Raw genomic sequence first — 25,583 nt, forward strand, 5'->3', positions numbered from 1 at the left:
TTCTTTCCTTCTGTTCAACAAATATTTGTTGGATGCCTACTGTAAGCCAGGGATTCAGCTTAGACTGGTATATAAAGATGACTAAGGCAGTGCTCCTGCTCTTAATACTTTGGTAGATACAAACTTGGTATGTGGGTAGCACCTTGATGTCTAGAATTTCACCAAGAAGATAGCAAGGGGGCCGGGTGCGTTGGCTCACGCCTGTAATCCCAGCACTTTGGGAGGCCGAGGCAGGTGGACCATGAGGTCAGGAGATCAAGATCATCCTGGCCAACATGGTGAAACCCCGTCTCTACTAAAAAATACAAAAAAATGAGTCGGGCGTGGTGGCGGGTGCCTGTAGTCCCAGCTACTCAGGAGGCTGAGGCAGGAGAATGGCATGAACCCAGGAGGCAGAGCTTGCAGTGAGCCGAGATCGTGCCACTGCACTCCAGCCTGGGCAACAGAGTGAGACTCCGTCTCAAAAAAAAAAAAAAAAAAAAAAAAAGATAGCGAGGGAAAGGCATCGCTGTCAGAAGGAAATGGCATGTGTAACAAGCTTAGGGGTAGGGGTATGTGAAACGCACATGGTGTACATGAGGAAAGGCCAGGAGCTTTATGTCGCTGGAGCACAAAACAGTATTCATGGAATGCTGTGGAAAGTGGGGCAGACAAATCAGTGCCAGGTGAGGCTGAAAAAGTGAAGCCTGTGAAGGCATGAGAAACCATCTTAATTTTTGGATTTTTGTGCCCCTAATCTTGACCCATAAGGGCATCTGGAAAGACAGGTGAGGAGTCAGCATTTTTGTGGTTGACAGAGAAAATGGTGGAGGATTCATTCATTCATACTTATACTTTCTTGCATTGCCTATCTTTTGGTTTTATAAGAGAGAGAAAAAATTATTTTATAAGCAATTATTTATAAAACAATTCATTAGAGCAAATTTGTTTTTGAATCAGGAGCAAAATATTTTTTGTAATAAATGGACAAAAGCTTTTGCCTCTTGTCGATTTCAATCATTAAACTGTGAGGGAGAGTTTTTCAATTTAGTGGATTAACATATTTCAAGGCATTATCCTTCAACAATAAGGGAGAGGTTTCTCTGGCCTCATTAATTTTTGGTGTAAACTCATGAATTCTTATTTCATTCAATAGGCTATAATCTATTACGGACATTAATTATTCTGACCCTCAAACTGAACCAGATTTGACAGGGGCAGCCCCTTCAAGCTGGCTTTGTCCTTCTGACTCTTCACCATTTTGTGAGCCCTTCTTTACTTTTAGGCACAATATATTCTAGGCTTATCTTGGACTTTCCCTGTCACGGCCTTGGGATCAGCCAGTTCTCTAGAGAATGGAACTGGTTTTATATATTTGCAATTTTCTAAATTGTGTGTCTGAGACACAAGTTTTTTATAATTTTTATTTACCAGGTTTTAAAAAATGCCATTTGATATTCAGTTTAATGCCAATTACCTTCTGGCAACATTTGTTTCCCACAACCTAATATATCCCATGAGCCCCTGACCTTGGGGTCAAAATTTCTCCCAGCTACACCAGGTTTTAAGAACTAATGAGGCTGGCAAGGGATGAGAGTATTTACAATTTTTTTTAAAGTAGTTTTAAAAACACATGTAAAATAAAAAGCACCTCAGTATTTTTTGTATCTATGTAAATATTTTATTCTGCTTCCAGATAGAACATTGAAGTTTACATGTTATTTTAAAGACAATAAACAGCTAAGCTACTGACATAAAATATGCAATAAATTTATGAGATATAAGGTACAGATGAGAAAAATCTGAAATAAGTTTTTAACTTCATTTAGCCTATTAGGAACATGAAGATGTCTGGAATTGATGCTGGCCTTGGTCTCAAGTACTTTTTCCCATATGTATTTGTTTTATCCTTCCAGAAAGCATATCATATTAGAGTGTCTAAGAAATCAGTGAATCACTAAGTTTTCCATCTTACCGAAGTACAAAACATTATTTCAAATCTAGGCCTTCTGACAGAATCCAATATCTATTTTTATACTTACTTTTCTTTCTACTAAGTTCTTTAATAAAATTATGAATCAGAAAGCAAGTACAAGACATGCTTATTTCACACAGAATATCAATGAAGACTTAAGAAGATAAATAGCAAGTACTTCTAAAAAATCACAAATTTTGACATTTGGAACAATATAATTGCCATACTATTATATCTTTTATTAAAAAAGACCTTTTCCAGCTTGTTTCCAGACTTCTTTTACTCCTTTAATGCTTTCTTTCTTCACACACTTCCAGTATTCTTGTATACTCTGATGTTGTGGTACCTGTTAACCGAAAGTAAAAATCAAGGGGTCATTGTCTTCAAGGTTAAACATGATTTCATATATACTTTACGTTACTGTTTATTTCCTTCCCACACTCCTCCAAAAATAGTTGAGGGTGAATTATGTTGTAAAAGATGATCACAACAGAACTGAAAATGGGGGTAAAAGACAAAAAGTGAATGTAACTATGCTTAAGGTTACTAGGGAGTGGAACCAGACTGAGCACACATTAATGGAGTTTCTTCTCTAAGAGGGTAATGAAGACTTTGGGCCATCTCTTCTTTCACATACTGGCTTTAAAATTTAATTACTTTATAATGTTTTCCTTTTATAATGTTTTATAATCTTTCCCTTTTTTTCTGGTGAACTTTGTTTAGCTATGTAGAATACAATTATAAGCCTAAAGCTTTGATTTAACATTGGCTAAAATTAAAAAAAAAAAAGGCCACAAAGTATTTGATGAAAAGCTTCAAGAAATAATCTAATTCATGGACGTGTTTTGTTAGCTAAAAATACATGTGGATTACTACTACTCTCAACAAAATGAAAAGGTAAAGGTTAGGAAATATTTGGATCCGGGGGACCACAGGAGCATAGCACTGATGAAAATTAGCCAAGTGGAAGCAAAATTCTACTCCAGATTATATATGTTCTTTTTCTTATGACTGATTTACAGCTTTTCTTTTTAATGTCTTCTGAGAAAGGGCAAGGAGACTCCCAGGTACACTCAATTGTGAACTGAAAAGACTGGCTTAATTTCCCGGAATATATTTATGGGTGTTGGATAACTGCAAAGTTTATAAAATATTAATATGTTTGCTAATGAAAATAATATTTATTTTTCCCTAAGTTATGTTTGTTGCAGGAAATGGAATTGCTTTTCTAAGTTGTAAATAGCTTTATTTTCATGAATAGTACCATATTCTCTCTCTCTCTCCTTCCTTTTTTCTTGCCTACCTACCAACCATGTAGATTCTCTTTGGACCCTAGTCTTCCCCTGGCAGACTTCTTTTCTGAGAGTGCTTCTAGCACATTCTAATCTGAACAAAAATCTGAATTTGATTTGTCCCACAAGTATAGACTCATATGTGACTTTGAGTGAATAATGCTAATAGTGAAATTTACTTCATAATCTCAGCCACTATACTAAGTATTTTACATCAAATTCTAACAATAATGCTTTCTGGTAGATTAGTTTCCTCATGGTATGGGTCAAGAATCTGAGACTAAAAAAAATTAAGTGGCTTTGCAAGATTAAGCAGTTAATAAACAGTAGAGGTGGGATTTGAATTTACATATATCTAATTACATGTAGTTAGTCAAATCCTAGGCTATGATTTTTTTTCCCTTTTTTTGTAGAAACAGAGTCTCATGATGTTATCCACGCTGGTCTCAAACTCCTGGCCTCAAGTGATCCACCCGGCTCGGCCTCCCACAATGTGCTGGGATTACAGATGTGAGCCACCATGTCCAGCTAGGCTACATTTCTGAATAGTAATTTCTTTTTTAAAAAATTATTTTTTTTTGGAGACAAGGGCTTGCTCTGTTGCACAGTCTAGAGTGCAGTGGTGCGATCGTAGCTCACAGTCACTTTAAATAGTGATTTCTTATTAGATTCACATTATTTTTTAAAAAGCAAAGATGTTTAATCTCATATATAAAATATATTTCTGTATTTCAATTACAGCTTATAGTCTTTTTATAAGTGATGAAAACTCCATTTAAAGACTGTACAATTGCCCAAATTCTAGGTTTAATATCAGTTAATGACAATGTAAACATGTATTATATAAAAAAAATCTGTTACCCATAAACCTCGATGCATTCTGTTTTTTAACACCCCAAGAAACTCTTCATGACTAAGACATTCATCACCATCCAAATCAAAGATCTTAAAGACAGTGTCCAAAATATTGTTTGAGAGTTCTTGTCCTGTTGCTACTTTCACAGCTCTCTTAAACTCCGCTAAAAAACAAACATAAAACAACTTATCAACTATGTGAAATAGTCTAAGTGAAATTAATCTAAATTTTCATTATTTGAGAAGTAAAAGCAAATCCAAATTTTTATTATTTGGGAAGTAAAACAAAAACAAAAATACCCATGAAGAAAATATTCAAACCATAAGCCGACGAATGTCATGAGAGTCACTGCAAGACAAATGAGCTATTGTAATTTAATCAATGCTCTAAACATATATTTGAGATGAATCTTGCTCGTCGCCCAGGCTGGAGTGCAATGGCACGATCTTGACTCACTACAACCTCCGTCTCCCGGGTTCAAGCGATTCTCTTGCCTCGGCCTCCTGAATAGCTGGGATTACAGGCGCCTGCCACCACGCCCAGCTAGTTTTTGTATTTTTAGTAGAGATGGGGTTTCACCATGTTGGCCAGGCTGGTCTTGAACTCCTGACTTTGTGATCCGCCCACCTTGGACTCCCAAAGTGCTGGGATTACAGGCATGAGCCACCATGCCCGGCCTTCTTCCTTCTTTTTAGGAGAATGAGAAAATAAAAGTATAGAAAGTAACCATTAAACTGGAGTACTGGTATTCTAAATCTAGAATAACCACACTGAATTAAAAGGTCAATCAACTATTTTTACTTATAATTTGTTCCTTGATTGGTAGCATTTAGTTGAAGAATATAGTAAAACTGTTTATAGATGATAAAAATTAAATGGTTTTTCATATAACTTACCTAGTCTGACAGGACGATGAGCTAAACTGAACATCTGCATGGCAATAGCAAAGTCTTCCAAGTGGGTTGTAAAATGGCAAAATGACTTGAATTCATCCAAACTAATGCTCTAATAAAGTAAGAGTTTTTATTACAATTTTGTAAGTACATTAAATAATCTTATAAATGTTAACTATGAACTTTCTTTTCTACCGTAGAGACTAGTATCATTCTAAGAGGAAGAGACAACAGAGCTTTCTCTGTCCCTTTCTCTCTGTGTGCACACAGAAATGGCCACACAAAGGGCACAGTGAGAAGGTGCTGTGTGCAGGCTGGGCAAGAGGCCTCACCAGAAACTGGCCCTGCTGGTGCCTTGATCTTGGACTCCTGGCCTCCAGAACTGTGAGAAATAAATTTATTGTTTAAGCTGCCCAGCCTGTGGTGTTTTGAGGCGGCAGCTTGAAGAGACTAACATACTCTGTTAAGTGGTCCACTTCTGCTAAGTTTTATTAGTGGACATAGCACTGAGTAAGAGCACAGAGTTTTGGAGTTAGATGGACTTTTAATGCTGAAATTCCGGTTCTGCCCTTTATAACGTGTATGACCTTAGCCTCTCTAAGTCTTAGGTAAGTAACGCTTCAGGGGTTATGTAGTTTGCCCAAAGTCTACTAACTGGAACAATCAGGATCTGAACCTTGGTCCATCTGACTTCAAAATCTGAGCACTTACAAATAAAACAAATGGTGCGGGCGCGGTGACTGACGCCTGTAATCCCAGCACTTTGGGAGGCGGAGGCGGGCGGATCACGAGGTCGGAAGATGGAGACCATCCTAGCTAACACCATGAAATCCCTTCTCTACTAAAAACACAAAAACAAAAAAATTAGCCGGGCGTGGTGGCAGGCGCCTGTAGTCCCAGCTACTTGGGAGGCTGAGGCAGGAGAATGGTGTGAACCCAGGAGGCAGAGCTTGCAGTGAGCCGAGATCACGCCACAGCACTCCAGCCTGGGCGACAGAGCGAGACTCTGTCTCAAAAAATACATAACAAACAAACAAACAAACGGGCTGGGTGCTGTGGCTCATGTCTAATCCTAGCACTTTGGGAGGCCAAGGCAGGCAGATCACCTGAGGTCAGCAGTTCAAGACCAGTCTGGTCAACATGGTGAAAAAGAAAAAAAAAAAAAAATTAGCTGGGTGTGGTGGTGCACACCTGTAGTCCCAGCTATTTGGAAGGCTGAGGCAGGAGAATTGTTTAAACCCGTGAGGCGGAGGCTACAGTGAGCCAAGATCGCGCCACTGCACTCCAGCCTGGGTGATGGAGTGAGACTCTGTGTAAAAACAAACAAATAAATAAAAAAGTTAAAAGAAAACTCAGTTTTTTCCATTAAAACAATAAAAGCTGGGTACGGTGGTTCCTGACTGCAATCACAGCACTTTGGAAGGCTGAGGTGGCCGGACTGCCTGAGCTCAGGAGTTGGAGACCAGACTGGGCAACATGGTGAAACCCCCATCTCTACAAAAAATACAAAAATTAGCCAGGCACGGTGGCATGTGCCTGTGGTCCCAGCGACTGAGGAGGCTTAGGCAGAAGGATCCCTTGAGCACAGGAGTTTGAGGTTATAGTGAGCTAACTGCACCACTGCACTTCAGCCTGGGCAACAGAGCAAGACCCTGTCTCAAAAACAAACAAACAAAACAAAAGTAAACAAAGTATGAAAATTCTCTTAGTTTTTATCTTGTTTTTGAGATAGTGTTTCACTCTGTGACCCAGGCTGGAGTCCAGATCACAGCTCACTGCAGCCTTGAAATTCTGGGTTCAAGCTATCCTCCTGCCTCAGTCTCCCAAGTAGCTGGGACTACAGACACAGAGCACCACACCCAACTAATGTTTTTATTTCTGTTTTTAGTAGAGACGAGATCTCGCTATGTTTCTCAGGCTGGTTTCAAACTCCTGGGCTCAAGTGATCCTCCCACCTTAGCCTCAGAAAGTGCAGGGATTACAAGTGTCAGCCATTGTGTCCAGCTAAAAATTCTTAATTTGAAAGTAAATTCTTCCCTGCCTGAAAAAAAAAGTTTCTCTTTGTAGGATGCTGAGGATCATGCCCTCTGTAATGTGTGGTCTTACTCAAGGTTCACTGGTTTCCAGCTTTTGTGACTTCATGAAATTTTTATTTTTAAATATTTCAATAAAGTTTTTGAAAAAGTAATATGTGCACATGGTTAAAAATTCAAACAACATGAAGGATAAATGATGAAGAGTTCTTCCACTCTGATTCCCAGTTCCATTCCCCAGACATGAGTTACCAATTCCTTGTGTCTCCATCCAGAAATATCCTATTCTTTTTTTTTTTTTTTTTTTTTTTTTTTTTGAGACAGTCTCGCTCTGTCACCCAGGCTGAAGCGCAATGGCGCAATCTTGGCTCACTGCAACCTCTGCTTCCCAGGTTCAAGCAATTCTCCTGTCTCAGCCGCCTGAGTAGCTAGGACTGCAGGCACCCACCACCACGTCCGGCTAATTTTTGTATTTTCAGTAGAGATGGGGTTTCACCATATTGGTCAGGCTGGTCTCAAACTCCTGACCTCAGGTGATTCACCCACCTCAGCCTCCCAAAGTGCTGGGATTACAGGCGTGAGCCACCGCGCCTGGCTAATATTCTATTCTTATTAAAGTGTATACATGTACACACACGTCTCCTTGTTTTACACAATGGGAACAATCTCTTCACATATTTCTGTACCTTGCTTTATTCTCTTAACAGTATATTTACAAGATGATAGAGAGGGAAAAAAGGAAAAAAAAAAACCAGTGTATTTATCAGCACAAATAAGAGTGGCTGCTTCTATCATGACCTCGAAGTAGGCACTGGATGCAACTTTTTTGATGTCTGCTTTTCTGATAGATGAAAAATGGTATTTTATTAATGTTTGAATTTGCATGTCTTACGGAGTCTTGCTGTGTTGCCCAGTCTGGAGTGCAGTGGCGTGATCTTGGCTCACCAGAACCTCCGCCTCCCTCATTCAAGCGATTCTTCTGCCTCAGCCTCCTGAAAAGCTGTGATTACAGGCATGCGCCACCACGCCCCGCTAATTTTTGTATTTTTAGAAGAGACGGGGTTTCACCATGTTGACCAGGCTGGTCTCAAACTCCCGGCCTCAGGTGATCCACCTGCCTCGGCCTCCCAAAGTGCTGGAATTACAGGTGGGAGCCATAGGCCCGGCCTGAATTTGCATGTCTTCAATTGTGAATGAAGTTAAACATTTTTCACATGCTTATTAGTCATTTGTGGATTTCTCTTCTTGTGTCCTGTTTATGTCCTTTGCCCAGATTTCTAATGGGTTGTTAGGTAACTTACTGTGCGAGACCGTTCTCCATGGGTCTCACATTTCTTTTTTTTTTTGAGATGGAGTCTCGCTCTGTCACCCAGGCTGGAGTGCAGTAGCACAATCTCGGCTCCCTGCAAACTTCACCTCCTGGGTTCACACCAATTCTCCTGCCTCTGCCTCCCGAGTAGCTGGGACTACAGGCACCCGCCACCACGCCTGTCTAATTTTTTGTATTTTTAGTAGAGATGGGGTTTCACCATGTTAGCCAAGATGTTCTCAATCTTCTGACCTCATGATCTGCCCGCCTCGGCCTCCCAAAGTGCTGGGATTACAAGTTTGAGCCACCGTGCCCAGCTGGGTCTCACGTTTCTGTACATCTATCAGAGGCACCGACTGCATTTTTGTTCCAGATTATATCTTCGAGGATTTCACACCTGTAATCCCAGCACTTTGGGAGGCCGAGAGTTTGGGACCAGCCTGGCCAACAACACAGTGAAACCCATCTCTACTAAACATACAAAAATTGCGAGGCATGGTGGTATGCGCCTGTAATCCCAGCTACTCAGGAGGCTGAGGCAGGAGAATTGTTTGTATAGCGGACAGCACTGTTCCTCAGGAGCACAGGACAGCTTTGCTTACTGTCCAGTATCATGAATACACAATGCCTCCCACTGCAGCAAAGCTCAGGAAGGCTTGTTTACTTGCCCATTACAAAACATTCAGATCACTAAGATGAGGGTCCTCAGCTGTGATGTGAATCTGCTGTGTGGGCAGCATCTACCTGGGCCTCTCAGCATCATGCCCATGGGGCTTGGGAGGCAAGGGGGAACTGACACAAATATGTTACTCATGTTGTTGCTACATTACGATAATAAAATTCTTTGTGTCTGACTCAATAGTCTTGTATCTTCTGCAAGCATCCATGAAACTGTGCAGGCTAACCTGCAAAGGGATAAAATTTCAGACACTTTACAGTTATTCACATGTTGATTTTCAAGTTCTCATGATATATTAAATAGGGAAAAAAAAATCTCAGACCGTTTAAAGTTCTTGATACCTACTGATTTTTTTTTTTTTTTTTTTTTTTTTTTTTTTGAGACAGAGTCTCACTGTTGCCCAGGTGTGACCTTGGCTCACTGCAACCTTTGTCTCCCAGGTTCATCCAATTCTCCCGCCTCAGCCTCCTGAGTAGCTGGGACTACAGGTGTGTGGCACCATGCCCGGCTACTTTTTTTTGTATTTTTTGGTAGAGATGGGGTTTCACCATGTTGGCCCGGCTAGTCTCGAACTCCTGACCTTGAGAGAGCCACCCACCTTGGCCTCCCAAAGTGCTGGGATTACAGGAATGAGCCACCACGCCCGGCCAATCCCTACTGATTTTTAAAGATCCCATTATAAATTAAGAAAATTGGTCTTTACATATCAATATCTCCCCCTTCTTCATGTTAACTTTTTATTTTGACTCTCATTATAATTTTTGCAGGGGACGAGGTGAGGCAACAGATTTTAATTTTTAGGTATTTCATCAAGTTTTCTTTGAAAGGTTTTGGGTTTTGCTTAGAAAGGTATATAACCTAAGATGAAACATTGTTTCCATGTTTTCTTCTACACTTACTCAGTTTCATTTTTTCAACATTTAATTTTTTGATTCATCCTAAATTTATTTTAGAGTAATGAATGGTGTAAAGATTTATGTTCATTTTCTCCCTCAGATGGCCAGTGAATTATCCTACTGCCATTTATTAATAATTCTTTTACCCAACTAATTTAAAATACTATTTCATAATTACTAAATTTTTCATATGCTTAAGTCTATTTCTGGAGTCTGTCAAATTCATTGTCAGTAACAAACTGTTTTAGTTACCAAGGTTTGATAATATATTTTAATATGTTGACATTCTTTTCATATAAAGTCTTTTTTTTTTTTGACACAGAGTCTTGCTCTGTCACCCAGGCTGGAGTGCAGTGGCGCAATCTCAGCTCACTGAAAGCTCTGCCTCCAGGGTTCACACTATTCTCCTGCCTCAGCCTCCCGAGTAGCTGGGACTACAGGCACCTGCCACCATGCCTGGCTAATTTTTTGTATTTTTAGTAGAGACGTGGTTTCACCGTGTTAACCAGGATGGTCTTGATCTCCTGACCTCATGATCTGCCCGCCTTGGCCTCCCAAAGTGCCAGGATTACAGGCGTGATCATATAAAGTTTTATAGCTTGTCTAGTTTCTTCCCAATAATTCAATGGTATTTTTATTGAAACCCACGAGTATTCACCAGTATCTGGATCTTTTCTGATTCCTGCACGTACGAAAGACTGAAGTTCCTTGCCTCCCTGCATTCAGGTGGGGTTATGTGATTAGTCTGGCCAATAGCCAAGTGTCATGTGATGTTTCCAGGCCAAAACATTTAGTTGCTGGATTTTGACTCCCCTCCTTCTTTTCCTGCCACAGCCTCTGAGCGTGGTACTTCTTTCAGATGATGTAACTCCAAGATGGCACAGCCTCAGAGAGTCTAGACCTCTGAATGGGTCTAGACCTCTATGCGGACAGAGACTCCTATCAGCCCACAATGGAACTGCGGCATGACTGAGCAAGAAACTCAGTGTCAGACAGGGGGATTTCAGGGTTAATTTGTAACTGCAGTAAACTTGGGCTGTTCTAATATAACCATTACACTTATAGACTAACTGAAGACAGAATTGCTGTATTTATAATTCTAAGACTTTCTATTCAATAATAGGGGATGTCTTATAATTAGATAAGTTTTCTTTTTATATCCATCAAGGCTATCAAGTTTTCTTCTTTTTTTTTGTTAAATTTATTTCTAATTGTTATATATTTATCTTGCAGTTATAACTGGGTTCTTCTACTGCAATTTATTTTTTTCTTACAATAGAAGTAACTTTTTAAAAAGTTACATAAAATACATGTCCATTGTAAACATTTTTTTGGAACAATACATAAAGGTATAAAGAAAGAAAGTAAAAATCACTTGAAACCTCACCACTGTACATGAATAATTATTAATAGCTTGGCAATCATCATTTCATACATCTCGTATATATATACACACACATATGCATGTCATTACATTTTCTACTTGTAATTTGTATATAGGAGAGCTGCTGCTGCTTATATATTAGCATTGTGACAGGTACTTTATTGAATTCTTATTGTTTCTACGGTTTTTCTACTGGATTCTCTTGGGTTCTCTAGGCATATAATTGCATCATATAAAAACAAAGACAACTACTACCCCCTTTCACATTTTTATACTCTTTTAAATAATCTTGTTAATTTGGACTGGTTAAGATTTACAGAGTGATATTAAATAACAGTAGTGATACTTGTCTTATTCTTGACTTTACTGGAAATGGAAAACTTGTAATTGCTACACTGATTCTGTCTTAGGCAGTTTTCCTTTACAGGAGAAGAGCATGTAGAGAACATTCCTCAAGTTGATTTTATATACCATCGAGGGTAGCACAGTCTTGGTTAATTCAGAAGTTACTTTATGTAAACATGTCTAACTTATTATTTCATCTTTATCACATGCATAATAAAAGGGTATACCAACCTCTCCTGCTGACAACTTCTCTCTCACATTTTTCCAATAAATATCTTTATTTTCAGTGTTAGTGAAAAAAAGTAGCCACTCTGCAAAGTCTTCTTTTCTCATGAAACTCAAACCTTTAGAAAACTGAAGGAATTCCATTTCTTGAATCTCTGTTTGTAAATTTTCCATAAATCTGAATGTTAAAATACAAAATTAGTAAGGTAACTAGTGGCATTCAACCTTAAATATTGTAAATGGGTCTGCAAAGTACCTTCACTATTACCTACTGAGTGGCTGCCTCCTGATGGTAAGCAGGATGAAGCATTAGTGCTGTGCAAGGATTGTGGGGAGAGGAAGGATGCAGAGAAACTGATTAAGTCCAACACTGGCTTCCATCAGTAACTCTCTATACTCAACTTGTTTGTGTAAGTTATACCTGGCAACCTACATTCTGATAAACCTAAAGACTTAAAAAAATATGTCAAATGTTGCTTTGATACATCCATAGAAAATAACAATTCCATGGAAACTATTTTCCAATACAGAAAAATTATCAATAATCAGATAAATTTAAAATTGAGGTGGGACACTGCTTTTAGAATGTTAATCATAATTACTACTTCCTAATATTTTTCAAATACCAAAGTTAATCAGTGTAATCAATGGCTTGGCATCAAAAGCTTAGCTCTATCTAAAAACATAATCTTTTTGACAATAATACATGTCGATATGACTCAACATTCCTTTCTTACAAAAACAACATGGTACTTCGATCAAACTGTCATCAATGGCTTCCCAGGAAAGGGACACGTTGAAAAGATATCAGATGAAAATATATCTTCTTTGAACAAGAACCCAGAAACGTTGCACTTGATTTATTTATAACCTAAATCATGTGAAAAGTATTATCATCTCCATGCATTTTAATATGCTGCAGATCCCTTTATTCACTTTTCCACATGTGAAAAGATCGGTACTATCTGTCATGTCAAATTCAAATGAAAATATACATGGGGTGATAGAAGAGGGACATTCCAGTTCAGTGGGAGAAAAATCATCACTTAAAAAATGACTTGCTTGAAGTTCTACATTTATCCTATAAATCTTAAAAGCATGAAGGAGGAGTTTGATCTTAGACTTCTGTCTACATGGTAGGCAAGAGTTTGTTACTTAAAACATTTTCTGAATGTACTGAATACACGGATTCATCAATGCCATGTTTCTTTCTGGGTCAAAGCAGAACTTTATCTAAAATTTGAAGTATTTCAAATTTGGACTGATAGAGCAACAAAATATTTTACTGATATACTTTGCCTTTTATTTTGTTGAGTTTTCCTGCCCTGTATACTGTAATGACATTCAACTGATTCTTATTAGAACTGTTAAATGTATGCTTTACTTGCAAATGAGTGTACACTGAATTAGGCAAGCAGAAGATAGGGCATAAAACCATTACTAACTTGTTCCTTTCCCTTTTTTCTTCAGGCTCTATGCGAGCCTCTACCAGAGGCTGAAATATTATAAACTTAATTGCTGTTAAACTATACATTGTCTGGATTAAGCTACTTTCATCTTACCTAATTACACTACTTTTAATGAATATAAATCAATTTATGATGATAATCTTTTCCCTTTAAGCCTAAAATCATATTATCTTGTTATAACATGAAACTCTGGAACATGAGCTGAACATGCATATATGAATTGGAAAATTTATAGTAGATAAGGCTGCCAGACACATTGTGAACAAATTACATACTTTATAAATTAGTGGGTTAATTGGAAACAATGGGAGAGATCTGTTTTTCCTTATTGGAATTGTTTAGGCAGTGTTGTACTGGAGTGGCGCGTACAGGCTGTGAGTCTATCATGCATGTCTTCCCACCTCTGCTTCATGCAGGGGAGCTTGACATTGGCATGGTAGAGTATTTATTTATTTATACTACTAATTGGCAAACACTACAAATCAAGGCTGTTTTTCCTGAGACAGATGATTGTTAAACATATTTACTAGCACACCACTGCCTCTAGACACCTCTGAATTTATAAAAACGCTTCATGAAACTCAGAAATCCTCAACTAATAATTGGTATTTCAGAATTTTTAACAAACTCAGCCCTAAAAAGTACATCAGTATCAATATCCTCCCCAATTTTTCCTGACGAGAAGACTTGAGGCCAATTTTCTTCCCTCTAACCATTATATATCTTAAGTCACAGGTTTATTTTCAGTTTAAAAAATTCATTGGAATAAAAAATGAGGTCAAATGTGTCAGAATAGAAATAAACTCAGGGATTATTTCTGGTCACTATCTTTAAGGCTAATCATGGAGTTTAAAAGAAGAGAAAAGAAATGCAGAAGAAGAAAAATCACCAAAGAGAGTAGGAGAGAAGAGTAAAAAAGACCAGAAAAACACAACAAAATCAGAAGGCACTGATGCAGGGCGGGTAAATGCCATCAGGAGCTGCCTGAGTAGCCCAAGAGTCAATGCTTTCCCCCAGAACAATACGTAGTAGGTTGACAGAAAACTCAATTTTCAGAATTTAAATTATCTGCTGCTTTCATAACAATAAAAGCACACCAAAATTCTGGGAGACAGAATTAAATTACACTGTGGTTTTTACTTAAACGGTTAAGTGATATTTCAGCTGGAAAATCTTTTTGATTAGTTGTATAAGTAAAAAAAAAATCAGAAAAGAAGTGACAAATTTTTCTTTAACTGATGAGTTTCTTTTGATCCGTGGTAGTATCTACTGTATATGACTGTCCTTCTGGTAACCTAGTCTGGTACTTGAAAGCCCATTCAATGCACCCACCACCTACCAGGGAACTGTGGAACTCTTTCAGAAACTACATGATCACTTAAACCTTTCATGAGAAACCTGAATCTCGCCTCTTCAGTTTCTAAAGTATGTGATCCTGTATCAAGTCCCTCAACCTCATCAGATTCTAGTTATAAAGAGAAGACACTTACCTCACCTTGTAAGGATAGGTGAGATGACACATATGGAAAATACTTAGAAAGACGCCATGCACCATGTAAGTACCTGCCAGTTGCTGTGATGGTACTGAGGATGATATGTAACTATCTTTTCGTTTTCATTCTTCATGCCCAGACTCCACTTTTTTTTTTTTTTGAAGACAGGGTCTCACTCTGTTGCCTAGGCTGGAGTGCAGTGGTGTGATCACAACTCACTGCAGCCTCAACCTCCCTGGGCTCTGGTGATCCTCCCTACCTCAGCCTCCCAAGTAACTGGGACTACAGGTGCACACCACCCCACCCATCTCTTTTGTAAAGATGAGGTTTCGCCATGTTGCCCAGGCTGCTGTCGAAGTCCTGGACTCTAGCAATCTGCCTGCCTTGGCCTTCCAAAGTGCTGGGATTACAGGTGTGAGCCGCCGCGCCCAGCTCCAGACTCCGTTGTTAATTGCTTTCCACTTTCTCACCCACAACCTCAGCTCTAATGGGCTGCAAAAGGCCTTCTTCAAGTATGGCTTAAAGAAAACCATACTATAACTAACTGCACATAGTGGTATTTGCACAAATTCATGGTGCACATTTTCAACTGGGTCCTTGACCCTTACAGACACTCTTCTGCTAGCCTGGAAATGTGTCTTTTTGATTTTACATAGAGGCTATTTCATTTTCACTCTCTTTTCTGTTTATCCTCAGCCTATGACTTTGCCCCTGCTTCCTACAGAAACTAGAAATCATTGTTTAATAAATTCATTCATTTTCTTATTGTCACTAAAAATTGTAACAGCATCCACATTCATCCTTTTCCCCACCCTCTTCTTCCTGTCACAATGGATGGGGAGTCCCTTTTCCTGTCGATGGCTGCACTCTGAATCTCACCTATATTCCTGTACTTCCCTCCCTTCAGGGACCTTGCTCTTCTAGCGATACCCTGTCACTCCTGTATTTTCAGCCTTTGCCTCCTTACATCGTCAGTTAAACATGTTATAACATTATACTCCCAGAAACACAAAAGTATAAGCTCAAAATATTACATATGAAACCATTTTTGTGGAATATCAATGATTAATTTGGCTAGTACGTTAGTGCAAGCTTTTGAAAATATTATTAGAAGCCATTTTCTGTTATTTTATGACTTAGCAAAATTTAAGAGATTATCTTATGATTGCCATAAATTCCAGCCTAGTATAATTACAATTTTACCTTTAGGGACACTTTGCAATATCTAAGAAAGCTCTTGAAAAATTTCATTTTTAAAGTTTTTGTTAATTTAATTGGATTAAAAAAATTGCATGATGGTATGACAAATTTCACAGTGCCCATAATTTATAGAAGAACTAATTTAAAAAAATTTAAAGTAAGAATTCTAAACAAAATCATTCCCATTGAAGAAAAGTAAGGTGAGAAGCAACCTTAAAAGTTAACAAGTTAGGGAATCGTAAAGTGAAGTAGAGTGACATATTAGTATCTCTGTGAATACAGTTTGAAAAATTATCCCAGTAATATGACAATATCAGTATTATGATAATAGCTTTCCTTGTTTTAAATTATGATATTTTTGGAACGTTAAAAAACATTGAGAGACTGATATTTTAAATATACAAGAAGAGGTATGGTTTAAAATTTTGTTGAAAAAATTGTTCTAGAGAGCTTAAATGACTCAGTGTAGCCATCAGGTAAACTGGGATTAGTGGGGTTAGAAAAAATCTAATTCAGAAACTTAGATTTTTTTTTTTTTTTTGAGACGAGTCTCACTCCGTTGCCCAGGCTGGAGTGCAGTGGCGCAGTCTTGGCTCATTGCAACCTCTGCTGCCCGGGTTCAAGCACTTCTCCTAACTCAGCCTCCCAAGTAGCTGGGATTACAGATGCCTGCCACCTCGCCCGGCTAATTTTTGTATTTTTAGTAGAGACGGGGTTTCACCACGTTGGCCAGGCTGGTCTAAAAACTCCTGACCTCGTGATCTGCCCGCCTTGGCCTTCTAAAGTGCTGGGATACAGACATGAGCCACCGCGCCCGGCCAGATTTTCTTTTCTTTTTCTTTCTCTCTTTCTTTCTTTCTTTTTTTTGACAGAGTCTCACTCTGTCACCCAGGCTGAAGGGCAGGAGGCACTTGGATTTTCATGCATTCTTCTTCGTTCCTTAAATCTAATCAATCACTGAGCCCTACAATTTTATCTCCTGTGTCTGGAAATCTTTTCTACTTCAAAATCCTTATTGCCACTACACTAGTTCAAGGCTCTTCTTTCTTTTTTTTTTTTTTTGAGACGGAGTCTCGCTCTGTCACCCAGGCTGGAGTGCAGTGGCACGATCCTGGCTCACTACAAGATCTGCCTCCCGGGTTCACACCATTCTCCTGCCTCAGCCTCCCAAGTAGCAGGGTCTACAGGTGCCTGCCACCATGCCTGGCTAATTTTTTGTATTTTTAGTAGAGACGGGGTTTCACCATGTTAGCCAGGATGGTCTCGGTCTCCTGACCTCGTGATCCACCACCTCGGCCTTCCAAAGTGCCAGGATTACAGGCGTGAGCCACCACACCCGGCCCAAGGCTCTTATTTCTTTTCTGGAATATCTGAATGGTCTTCTCTCTCATAAAACCTATCCTTTACTCTGCTGCCAGAGTGATGGGCACATCTGACCAAATACCCTTCACGTGGCCTTCTTCAGGGCCTCTCATCACTGAGTTAATCAACAAGCTACCTCTATCTTATGGTGTATAAAACCTTCACACAGGTAAGTTCATACTTCCCAGCCTCCATTCTCCTCACCTTATGCTTCCTACTTTATCAACTCTACTGCTTCTAATTCCCTTTACAAACCATACACTTTCATGCCTCTACGTCTTTGCTCTTGCTGTGTTATCATTCCCTCAAATGCCTCCCTGCCCAAACCACTTTTGCCTGTTAATCCCAGCTAGTTTGTCAAGATTCAACTTAGTATTTCTTCTGGAAAGCCTTCCCTGATCACCTAGTCCCAACCTTCAACACAGGGTACACTAAGTGATCTTCTGTGCTACCCAAATACCCTATTTATCTAAGAAAGCACTGACTACAATGTATTTAAATGTTTTTCTGCATGTTTACTAGATAGTTTCCAGTACTATCCCTAGTGTTTGAGGGGTAATTTGACACATAATAGCATATATCACATTCAATAAATCTTTATTAAACTAGATTCAGCTGAATAAGATGCAGGTCTCCTGCCTCCCAAGTCAGTGTTTTTCCCCACTATTCTGTACTGCTTTTTGATATCTGTTTTAAGACTTTGGTTAGTGGAGTAGCACAGGGAGGTGCACTGTCTCACTATGCATGGCATTATTATCATTGGGAAGATGGTAGACAGGACACTGTATTTTAATGTTTATAATAATCATATAAGGTAAGCATTATTATGTCTACCTTTTAGATAAAGAAATGAGCTTAGGGAGGTTAAATAAGTACTTAAAATTAATGTTAGTATAAAGCTTTACTGGAACATGTCCATGTCTATTTGTTAATGTACTGTTTATGGCTGCTTTCACACTACAACCATGGAGTTGTGTAGTTGTGACAGAGACCATATTTACTCTTTAGGCCTTTGCAGAAAATGTTTGCCAACCCTTGTGCTAGAGAATGAGAGACTACATGAAGCAGAGCTGAGGTGTCCCAGTTGAGACCATCTTAGAAAAGCCAGCAGCCAGCAAACCCATCAGCAGACTGCAAATGCAAGAGTACTGTCAAGATCAGCCAATCCTGTTCCAATCAGGAGAACTGCCCAACCGACTCAAAGACTCACAAAAATAACAAATGGTTGTTGTTTTAAGTTGGGTTGGTTTGTTTCGCCTAAAGAACAACTGACGCTAGGCGCATGGTTCTTTGTTGCAAACATTAAGTTACTAAAAAGAATTATTGTATTCTATGAAACAGATACTACTTTCTATAGTAAGGTACGATATTTTGAGCATACTAATTTTAGTTTCTATTTCATAGGTTTAGTTCTCAGAGATAAATACTACACAGATCCACAAAATCCACAAACAGTATTTTAGTTTTATGATCTGCAGTTCTAGAAAATGAATATATTCTGTTTCTCTTTATTTCTTACCCATAAAATTTCCCTAAATGAATGTAAATATTTGCATTTACCTTCGAAATTCTTTATAATGAAGTTTTCTTTGTCCTCTTTTTCCAAAGAAACGCATCTGAAGAGTTGTGTTAATTTCAGGTTCTTTCACTATTGCTTCCTATTAAAAAAATCACAATAATTTAAAATAATTATAAATAAGAATAAAAATAGAATCTGTAGAGTAGAAATCTTAGAATAATATCCAGAAAGGATTCTTCTTACAGCAACAACAACAACAACAAAAGTTGTAAAAGAGGGATAGAGCCATTCCTTCTGTTATTTTGCATAACACTCCATAACCATCGTTGTTCAAGTAGGCAATAAACAATAAGGGATAAAATACTCAAGGTGGACTTCAGCATGAAACAAGATCTTAGATCAGGCCAAAAAGGAAGTTTAGAATAGTGAAATAAATGTTACTTCAAAATATGATCTCTAGGCCTTTACTAATGAAGCAGCACTGAGAGAGTTAAAGCAAGAAAGTCTTTGAGCTTTTGTTGAATGTTGGAAATACTTGGAAAACACTTGCTTTTCCTAATTATAAAATCAACAGGTGAGAATTCCATTAAACGTAATGAGTGAGGCAGATTCACACATTCTTCAATTCTTTAATAAAATAACAAAAATAACAAAACTGCTAAAAAAAAGAAAAAACCATCAGCAACCAAACAACAAAAGGGGGTATAAGTTTAAGCCACAATTTTGAAAAACAGCAGTCAGAGAAACAGTAGACTCAGGTGTGGGATCGTCTAGCATGTCTCCTAATCCTACCACCACCCCGACCCCGCTTCTCAGAATGTCAGATTACTGCCTTAGGAGGAATTCATTAAATGAATTCATTTAATTCATTCATTAATTCATTTAATGAATTCCTTAGGAGGAATTCATTAAAATCTTCAATTCTGCAATAAGTAGATTAACAGGGTGAGAAGACAACCCTGAGACAAGTCATGGCAAACTCTTCAGCAAGCTCCTCTCTGGAGCTTGGTGGGACTTGAGCACAGTGAAGAAGGGCTTCAACGGCTTCTTTCAGGGCACTATGTTAAATTGAGGGAATAATCAGAAGCCCACAGGGTGGGATATACCTTGGAGGGTGGAGTGGGCTGTGATCTGGAACATTTTAATAGAATCACAGAGAGAAAGCAGAGTCTAGGTGCTCCAGTAAGGATTACATTTAGACCAGGGAACTCCCTTCTCTCCTTTAGTCAACAAAATGGTGGAGCAAAATGCAGCACCTGCAGCTCAGGGGAAAAGATAAATTAGTTCCAGATATGGTGGGAAGAGTATTAAGGAGAATATCATTTGTGCTCTACCAGAGCAGAGAGGGTCTGGATAGAGCATGGGCATGAGGAAAATGTAAGGCATGACAACTATACAAAGACACTGTAGCAAGAAATAGAAAAAGAACAAATCAGGTAAAAGGCACAAAAACCCAGTCTAGAAGAACTGATAACCCAAGGAACAAATAAGTATTTCTCATGAGACCTTTAAAGAAAATAACTTTTTATTTTGGGATACCTATAGATTTCACACACAATGGTAAGAAACAATACAAAAAGATCCTCTCTGCCCTTTACTCAGTATCCTCCAATGGTAGCATCTTGCAAAACTATGGTGAAATATCACAACTTGACACAGTCAACATATAGAACATTCCTTCACCACAAGGATTCCTCATGTTGCTTTTATAGCTACACCAGCTTTCCTCCTGCTCCCACCCTCTTTTTAGCCTCTGACAACAATTAATGAATTCTCCATTTCCATTATGTTGTCATTTCAAACATGTTATATAAATAGAATCATACAGTTTGTAACTTTCAGGAACTGGCATTTTTTTTTTTTTCCCAGCATAATTCTCTGGAGATTCATTCAGGTTGTCGTATCTTTTGCCATATCAATTGTGTTTCTTTTTATTGCAGAGCAGTATTTCATGGTAATGGAGTCCCACAGTTTATTCAACAAAAGATATCTAGATTGTTTCCCGTTTGGGCTGGATGCTGCCCAACTGAGCTGCTAAGAACATGTGTGTACAGGTTTTGTACGAACAATCCCAGGAGCACAATCACTATTTTCCAGAGTGGTGGTTTTACATTCCCACTAGCAATGAGTGATTCAGTTTCTCTGCATCCTTGCCACCATCTGGTGTGTCAGTGGTTTGTTTTTAGTCATTTGGGTGGCTGTATATCTCTCTATGGTTTTAATTTGCATTGCGCTAATGACTAAAGGTGGTGAATATCCTTTTATGTGCTTGTTTTTGCCTATTTTCTTTGGAGAAATATTAAAAGTCCTTTGTCCAGTTTTTAATTGGGTTGTTAATCACTTTGTGGTTAAATTGTAAGAAGAGTTCTTTATATATACTGATAGACCCTTATTAGATATGTGATTTGCAAGTATCTTCTTCCATTATGTTGGTTATCTTTTCACACTCTTGACAGTGTCCTCTGATGAACACAAATTTTTAATTTTTTTTTTTTTTTTTTTTGAGACGGAGTCTCGCTCTGTTGCCCAGGCTGGAGTGCAGTGGCTCGATCTCGGCTCCCTGCGAGCTCCGCCTCCCAGGTTCACACCATTCTCCTGCCTCAGCCTCCTGAGTAGCTGGGACTACGGGTGCCCGCCACCAGGCCCAGCTAATTTTTTTTGTATTTTTAGTAGAGACAGGGTTTCACCATGTTAGCCAGGATGGTCTCGATCTCCTGACCTCGTTATCTGCCCACCTCCGCCTCCCAAAATGACGAATTTTTAATTTTGATGAAATCCAATATATCTACTTTTTCTTCTGTTGCTTGTGATTTTAGTATCATTATCTAAGAAACTGTTGCCAAATCCAATGCCATGAAGCTTTGCTCTTATGTTTTCTTCTAAGAGCTCTATAAGTTTAGCTCTTACATCTACTTGAATTAATTTTTATATGTGGTGTGAGACAGGAGTCCGACTTTATTCTTTTACACATAGATATCCAGTTGTACCAGCAACATTTGCTGAAGAGATTTCCTTAGTTTCTGAAAATTGTGAATGGTATTATATTTAAAATTTTTGTGTCCCTGGTGTTCACTGATATATACACATGACTGATTTTTGTACATTTTTCTTGTACCTAGTCACCTTCCTAAAATCAATTATTAGTTCTAGAAGCTTTGTTTTGTTTTGTGATTTTTTTTTTGCAGATTTCCTGGGAGTTTCTACAGAGACAATGCCATCTACGAAAAGAGACTGTTTCATTTCTTACTTTCCAATCAATAGGCCTTTTATTTCCTTGTCTTGCCTTACTGGAGTGGCTAGAACTTTCAGCACTGTATTGAACAAGAGTAGCAAGAATGGACATCCTTGCCTTACTCCTGATGTCAGGGGAAAAGAATTCAGTCTTTCATCAATAAGTATGTTAGCTGTAGGTTTTTTGTAGATGCTCTTTACCAAGTTCAATGCCCACCTCCCTGCCCTATTTGTTTTAATGAGTGCTTTTAAAAAAACTACGGGCTGGGCACAGTAGCTCACACCTGTAATCCCAGCAATTTGGGAGGCCGAAGCGGGCGGATCACCTGAGGTCAGGAGTTTGAGACCAGCCTGACCAACATGGTGAAACCCTGTCTCTACTAAATACAAAAAATTAGCTGGGTGTGTGGGTGGCATGTGCCTGTAATCCCAGCTACTTGGGAGGCAGAGGCAGGAGAATCGCTTGAACTGGGGAGGTGGAGGTTGCAGTGAGCTGAGATCGCGCCACTGCACTCTAACCTGGGAGACTGAGTGAGACTCTGTCTCAAAAAAAAAAAAAAAAAAAAAAAAAGACAACTTTACATATATTAAGTTAAAAAAGAAGAGTGTGGAACAATGTAGAGTATGTTACTTCTTATATTAAAACAGAAAAAATAATATAGATATATCTATTTACTTCTTTACATGTATACTTATATATACATAAAATCTCTCTGGAAGAATACACAAGAAACTAAAAGTACTAATTGCCCAGGGAGGAGAACTGTGTGAATGAGAGGGAAATTCTGCTCTACCTACATACTCCTGTGCACCACCTGAAGTTAGGAACATGTAAATATAGCACATATATTTAAAATACAGTCATGTATTGCTGAGAAATGCATTGTTAAGTGATTGTCACTGTGCAAACATCAGAGTGTACTTACACAAACCTAGATGGTATACCCCACCACACACCTCTGCCATAAAGTATAGCCTATTGTTCAGACCACCACGTATATGCAGTCTGTTGTTGACTGAAAAGTTATGTGGTGCATGACTGTATTAAAAAAATTAAATTGCTGATACCAAATCTATTGGTAACTATCGGGAATATCTGAACAAACAAAATAGAGTAGCTATTATAAATATCAATTGTTTGGAAATCATCTGTACATACCTGATATCCAGTTTCATTAGTTTTCACTGTCATCAAGTCATCTTGTTTACTTATGATCTTCTGCAGCTAAAAAGATTACAAACATGAGTTTACATGTGTGCCTACCAGATTTTTCAAAACAACCTAAAAAATAGATGCCAACTTATTGTTATAAAATATATACTAGTTATTTGCTAAATATTAACTTCTTTTTTTTTTTGAGATGGAGTCTTACTCTGTTGCCCAGGCTGGAGTGCAGTGGCGCAATCTCGGCTTACTGCAAGTTTCGCCCCCAGGTTCATGCTATTCTCCTGCCTCAGCCTCCCAAGTAGCTGGGACTACAGGCGCCCGCCACCACTCCCGTTAATTTTTTTTTTTTTTTGTATTTTTAGTAGAGACGGGGTTTCACCGTGTTAGCCAGGATGGTCTCGATCTCCTGACTTTGTGATCCACCCGCCTCGGCCTCCCAAAGTGCTGGGATTACAGGTGTGAGCCACCACCTTAAATTTTTTCTAATCATAACTCCTATTATCTTTTTCTCTTAGACAATGCAAGAATCAAAGGACAAAAGAGATAACAAAGTATTAACATTATTATTACTACAATCTTCTACTAAGAAAGCTAGTTTACTTAATAGATACATGTTCTTAGGCAGCACTCTATAAGAACTTCAAGATTATGCTGTCCTTTCAAGATAATTTTTATTCATAATTAGTTGTATCACTAGTTTATGGTGACATTTTCAAGTATATAGTTTTTTTTTTTTTTGAGACGGAGTCTCGCTCTGTCACCCAGGCTGGAGTGCAGTGGCACGATCCCGGCTGACTGCAAGCTCCGCCTCCCGGGTTCACGCCATTCTCCTGCCTCAGCCTCCCGAGTAGCTGGGACTACAGGCACCCGCCACCATGCCTGGCTAATTTTTTTGTATTTTTAGTAGAGATGGGGTTTCACCGTGTTAGCCAGGATGGTCTTGATCTCCTGACCTTGTGATCCACCTGCCTCGGCCTCCCAAAGTGCTGGGATTATAGGCTTGAGCCACTGTGCCCGGCCTATAGTTTTAAAAAAGCTATTTATATCATACACATAGTCTTCCTTTTCCCTTTATGCATTTATAAAGCATTAAAATAATTTAAAGACTTACATTTCTACTAATTAGGACACTGTAAATAGTACTTTGAAATTGAGTACATTAAAAAACCTACCTGCCTTTCAGAATCAATTGTATCAATCCTCATATGGAAAGCAAATTTAAAAAAGAAAGCATTTTAAAAGAATCAGATGTAGACAAAATCCCAAACTATGGATTCAAATCAATTAGGAGACAAACCTCTATCCATTTTTTTCTGGGCTATTTAACAGTTTGAAAACTGCTGCAATTAATTCCGTATTAATTATTTTGAATTTAGCTATTTCTATTACGTTTGTTTTAGGCAAGTGGTTTATTTCTAGTTCTCTAAATCTCTCAGCCAGTTTTCAATGCCCCCCTTTCCCCTACTTAATTATTTTTGGGAAAAAAGTTAAAAAGCTTTATATTTATTTTACCTTTTATTTTTAAAGTTGACAATCAAATGATATAATGCCAAGTTCAATATCCAAACATTTCTCCCTGTGCTTATTCCCCTGGAACCTCTTACAAATTTTTATTACAGAAAATTTCAAACTTAAGTAAAATGAACAGAATTCTACAACAAGTCACCATGTAAACATTATTAATCTTCAATAATTACCAGTATTCTGCTATTCCTGGCTCTTCTATACCTCTACCTGCTCCCTGTTCCCCTCCCAATTATTATTTACAGCTCTTCAGGAAAAAATACATATATTAAAATGTACAAATATCAGCCAATTTTGACAAAGTTTCTTTGTGTCTCTTCCCAGTCAATCCTGGTTTCTCTTTTATTCTTGTTCCCACAGAGACAGTTCTGATTTTTTTCCCCACCTAAATTAGTTTCCCTTAGTTTAGAAATTCAAATAAATGAAATTAACTAGTATGTATTCTTTTGTGTCTGCCTTCTTTCACTCAGCATAATGGTCTTGAGAGTCACCCATGTTGTTTGCCTGTCAGTAGTCTGTTGCCATTTATTGTTGTGTTTTATTACATTTTATGAATATACCACTATTTATTCAATCACCTGTTGATAGGTGTTTTCATGGCTCCAGTTTTTGGCTACTGTGAATCAAAATGCCACAAACATCTTTTACAACTCAATTTTGTGGATGTGGGTTTTAATTTCTCTTGGATAAACACGTAGGAGATAACAAATCTGTTTAACTTTATAAGAAACTGCCAAACTATTTTCCAAAG

At 38.3% G+C, this 25,583-nt stretch overlaps 1 protein-coding gene across 5 annotated transcripts in view; it reads right to left on the minus strand.

The window, feature by feature from the left end:
- Positions 1 to 1,637: 1,637 nt before the first annotated feature.
- Positions 1,638 to 25,583, minus strand: part of MICU2 (mitochondrial calcium uptake 2) — a 111,480-nt gene continuing 87,534 nt past the window's right edge. For 3 of the 5 annotated variants that reach the window (NM_152726.3, XM_047430142.1, XM_017020433.2), the window contains 6 exons: positions 23,300 to 23,365; positions 18,951 to 19,048; positions 11,873 to 12,044; positions 4,999 to 5,107; positions 4,108 to 4,265; positions 1,638 to 2,300 (listed from right to left, as the gene is read on the minus strand). In NM_152726.3, coding sequence (NP_689939.1) covers positions 2,196 to 2,300; positions 4,108 to 4,265; positions 4,999 to 5,107; positions 11,873 to 12,044; positions 18,951 to 19,048; positions 23,300 to 23,365 — 708 coding nt within the window. In that variant the 3' untranslated portion in view covers positions 1,638 to 2,195. Of the gene's footprint in view, positions 2,301 to 4,036; positions 4,266 to 4,338; positions 4,790 to 4,998; positions 5,108 to 11,872; positions 12,045 to 18,950; positions 19,049 to 23,299; positions 23,366 to 25,583 lie in introns of those variants that run through there. The other 2 variants (XM_047430141.1, XM_047430143.1) reach the window with 2 other exon arrangements.

Source organism: Homo sapiens, chromosome 13 (genome assembly GCF_000001405.40).
Source record: "Homo sapiens chromosome 13, GRCh38.p14 Primary Assembly".
NCBI classification, from domain to species: Eukaryota; Metazoa; Chordata; class Mammalia; order Primates; family Hominidae; genus Homo; species Homo sapiens.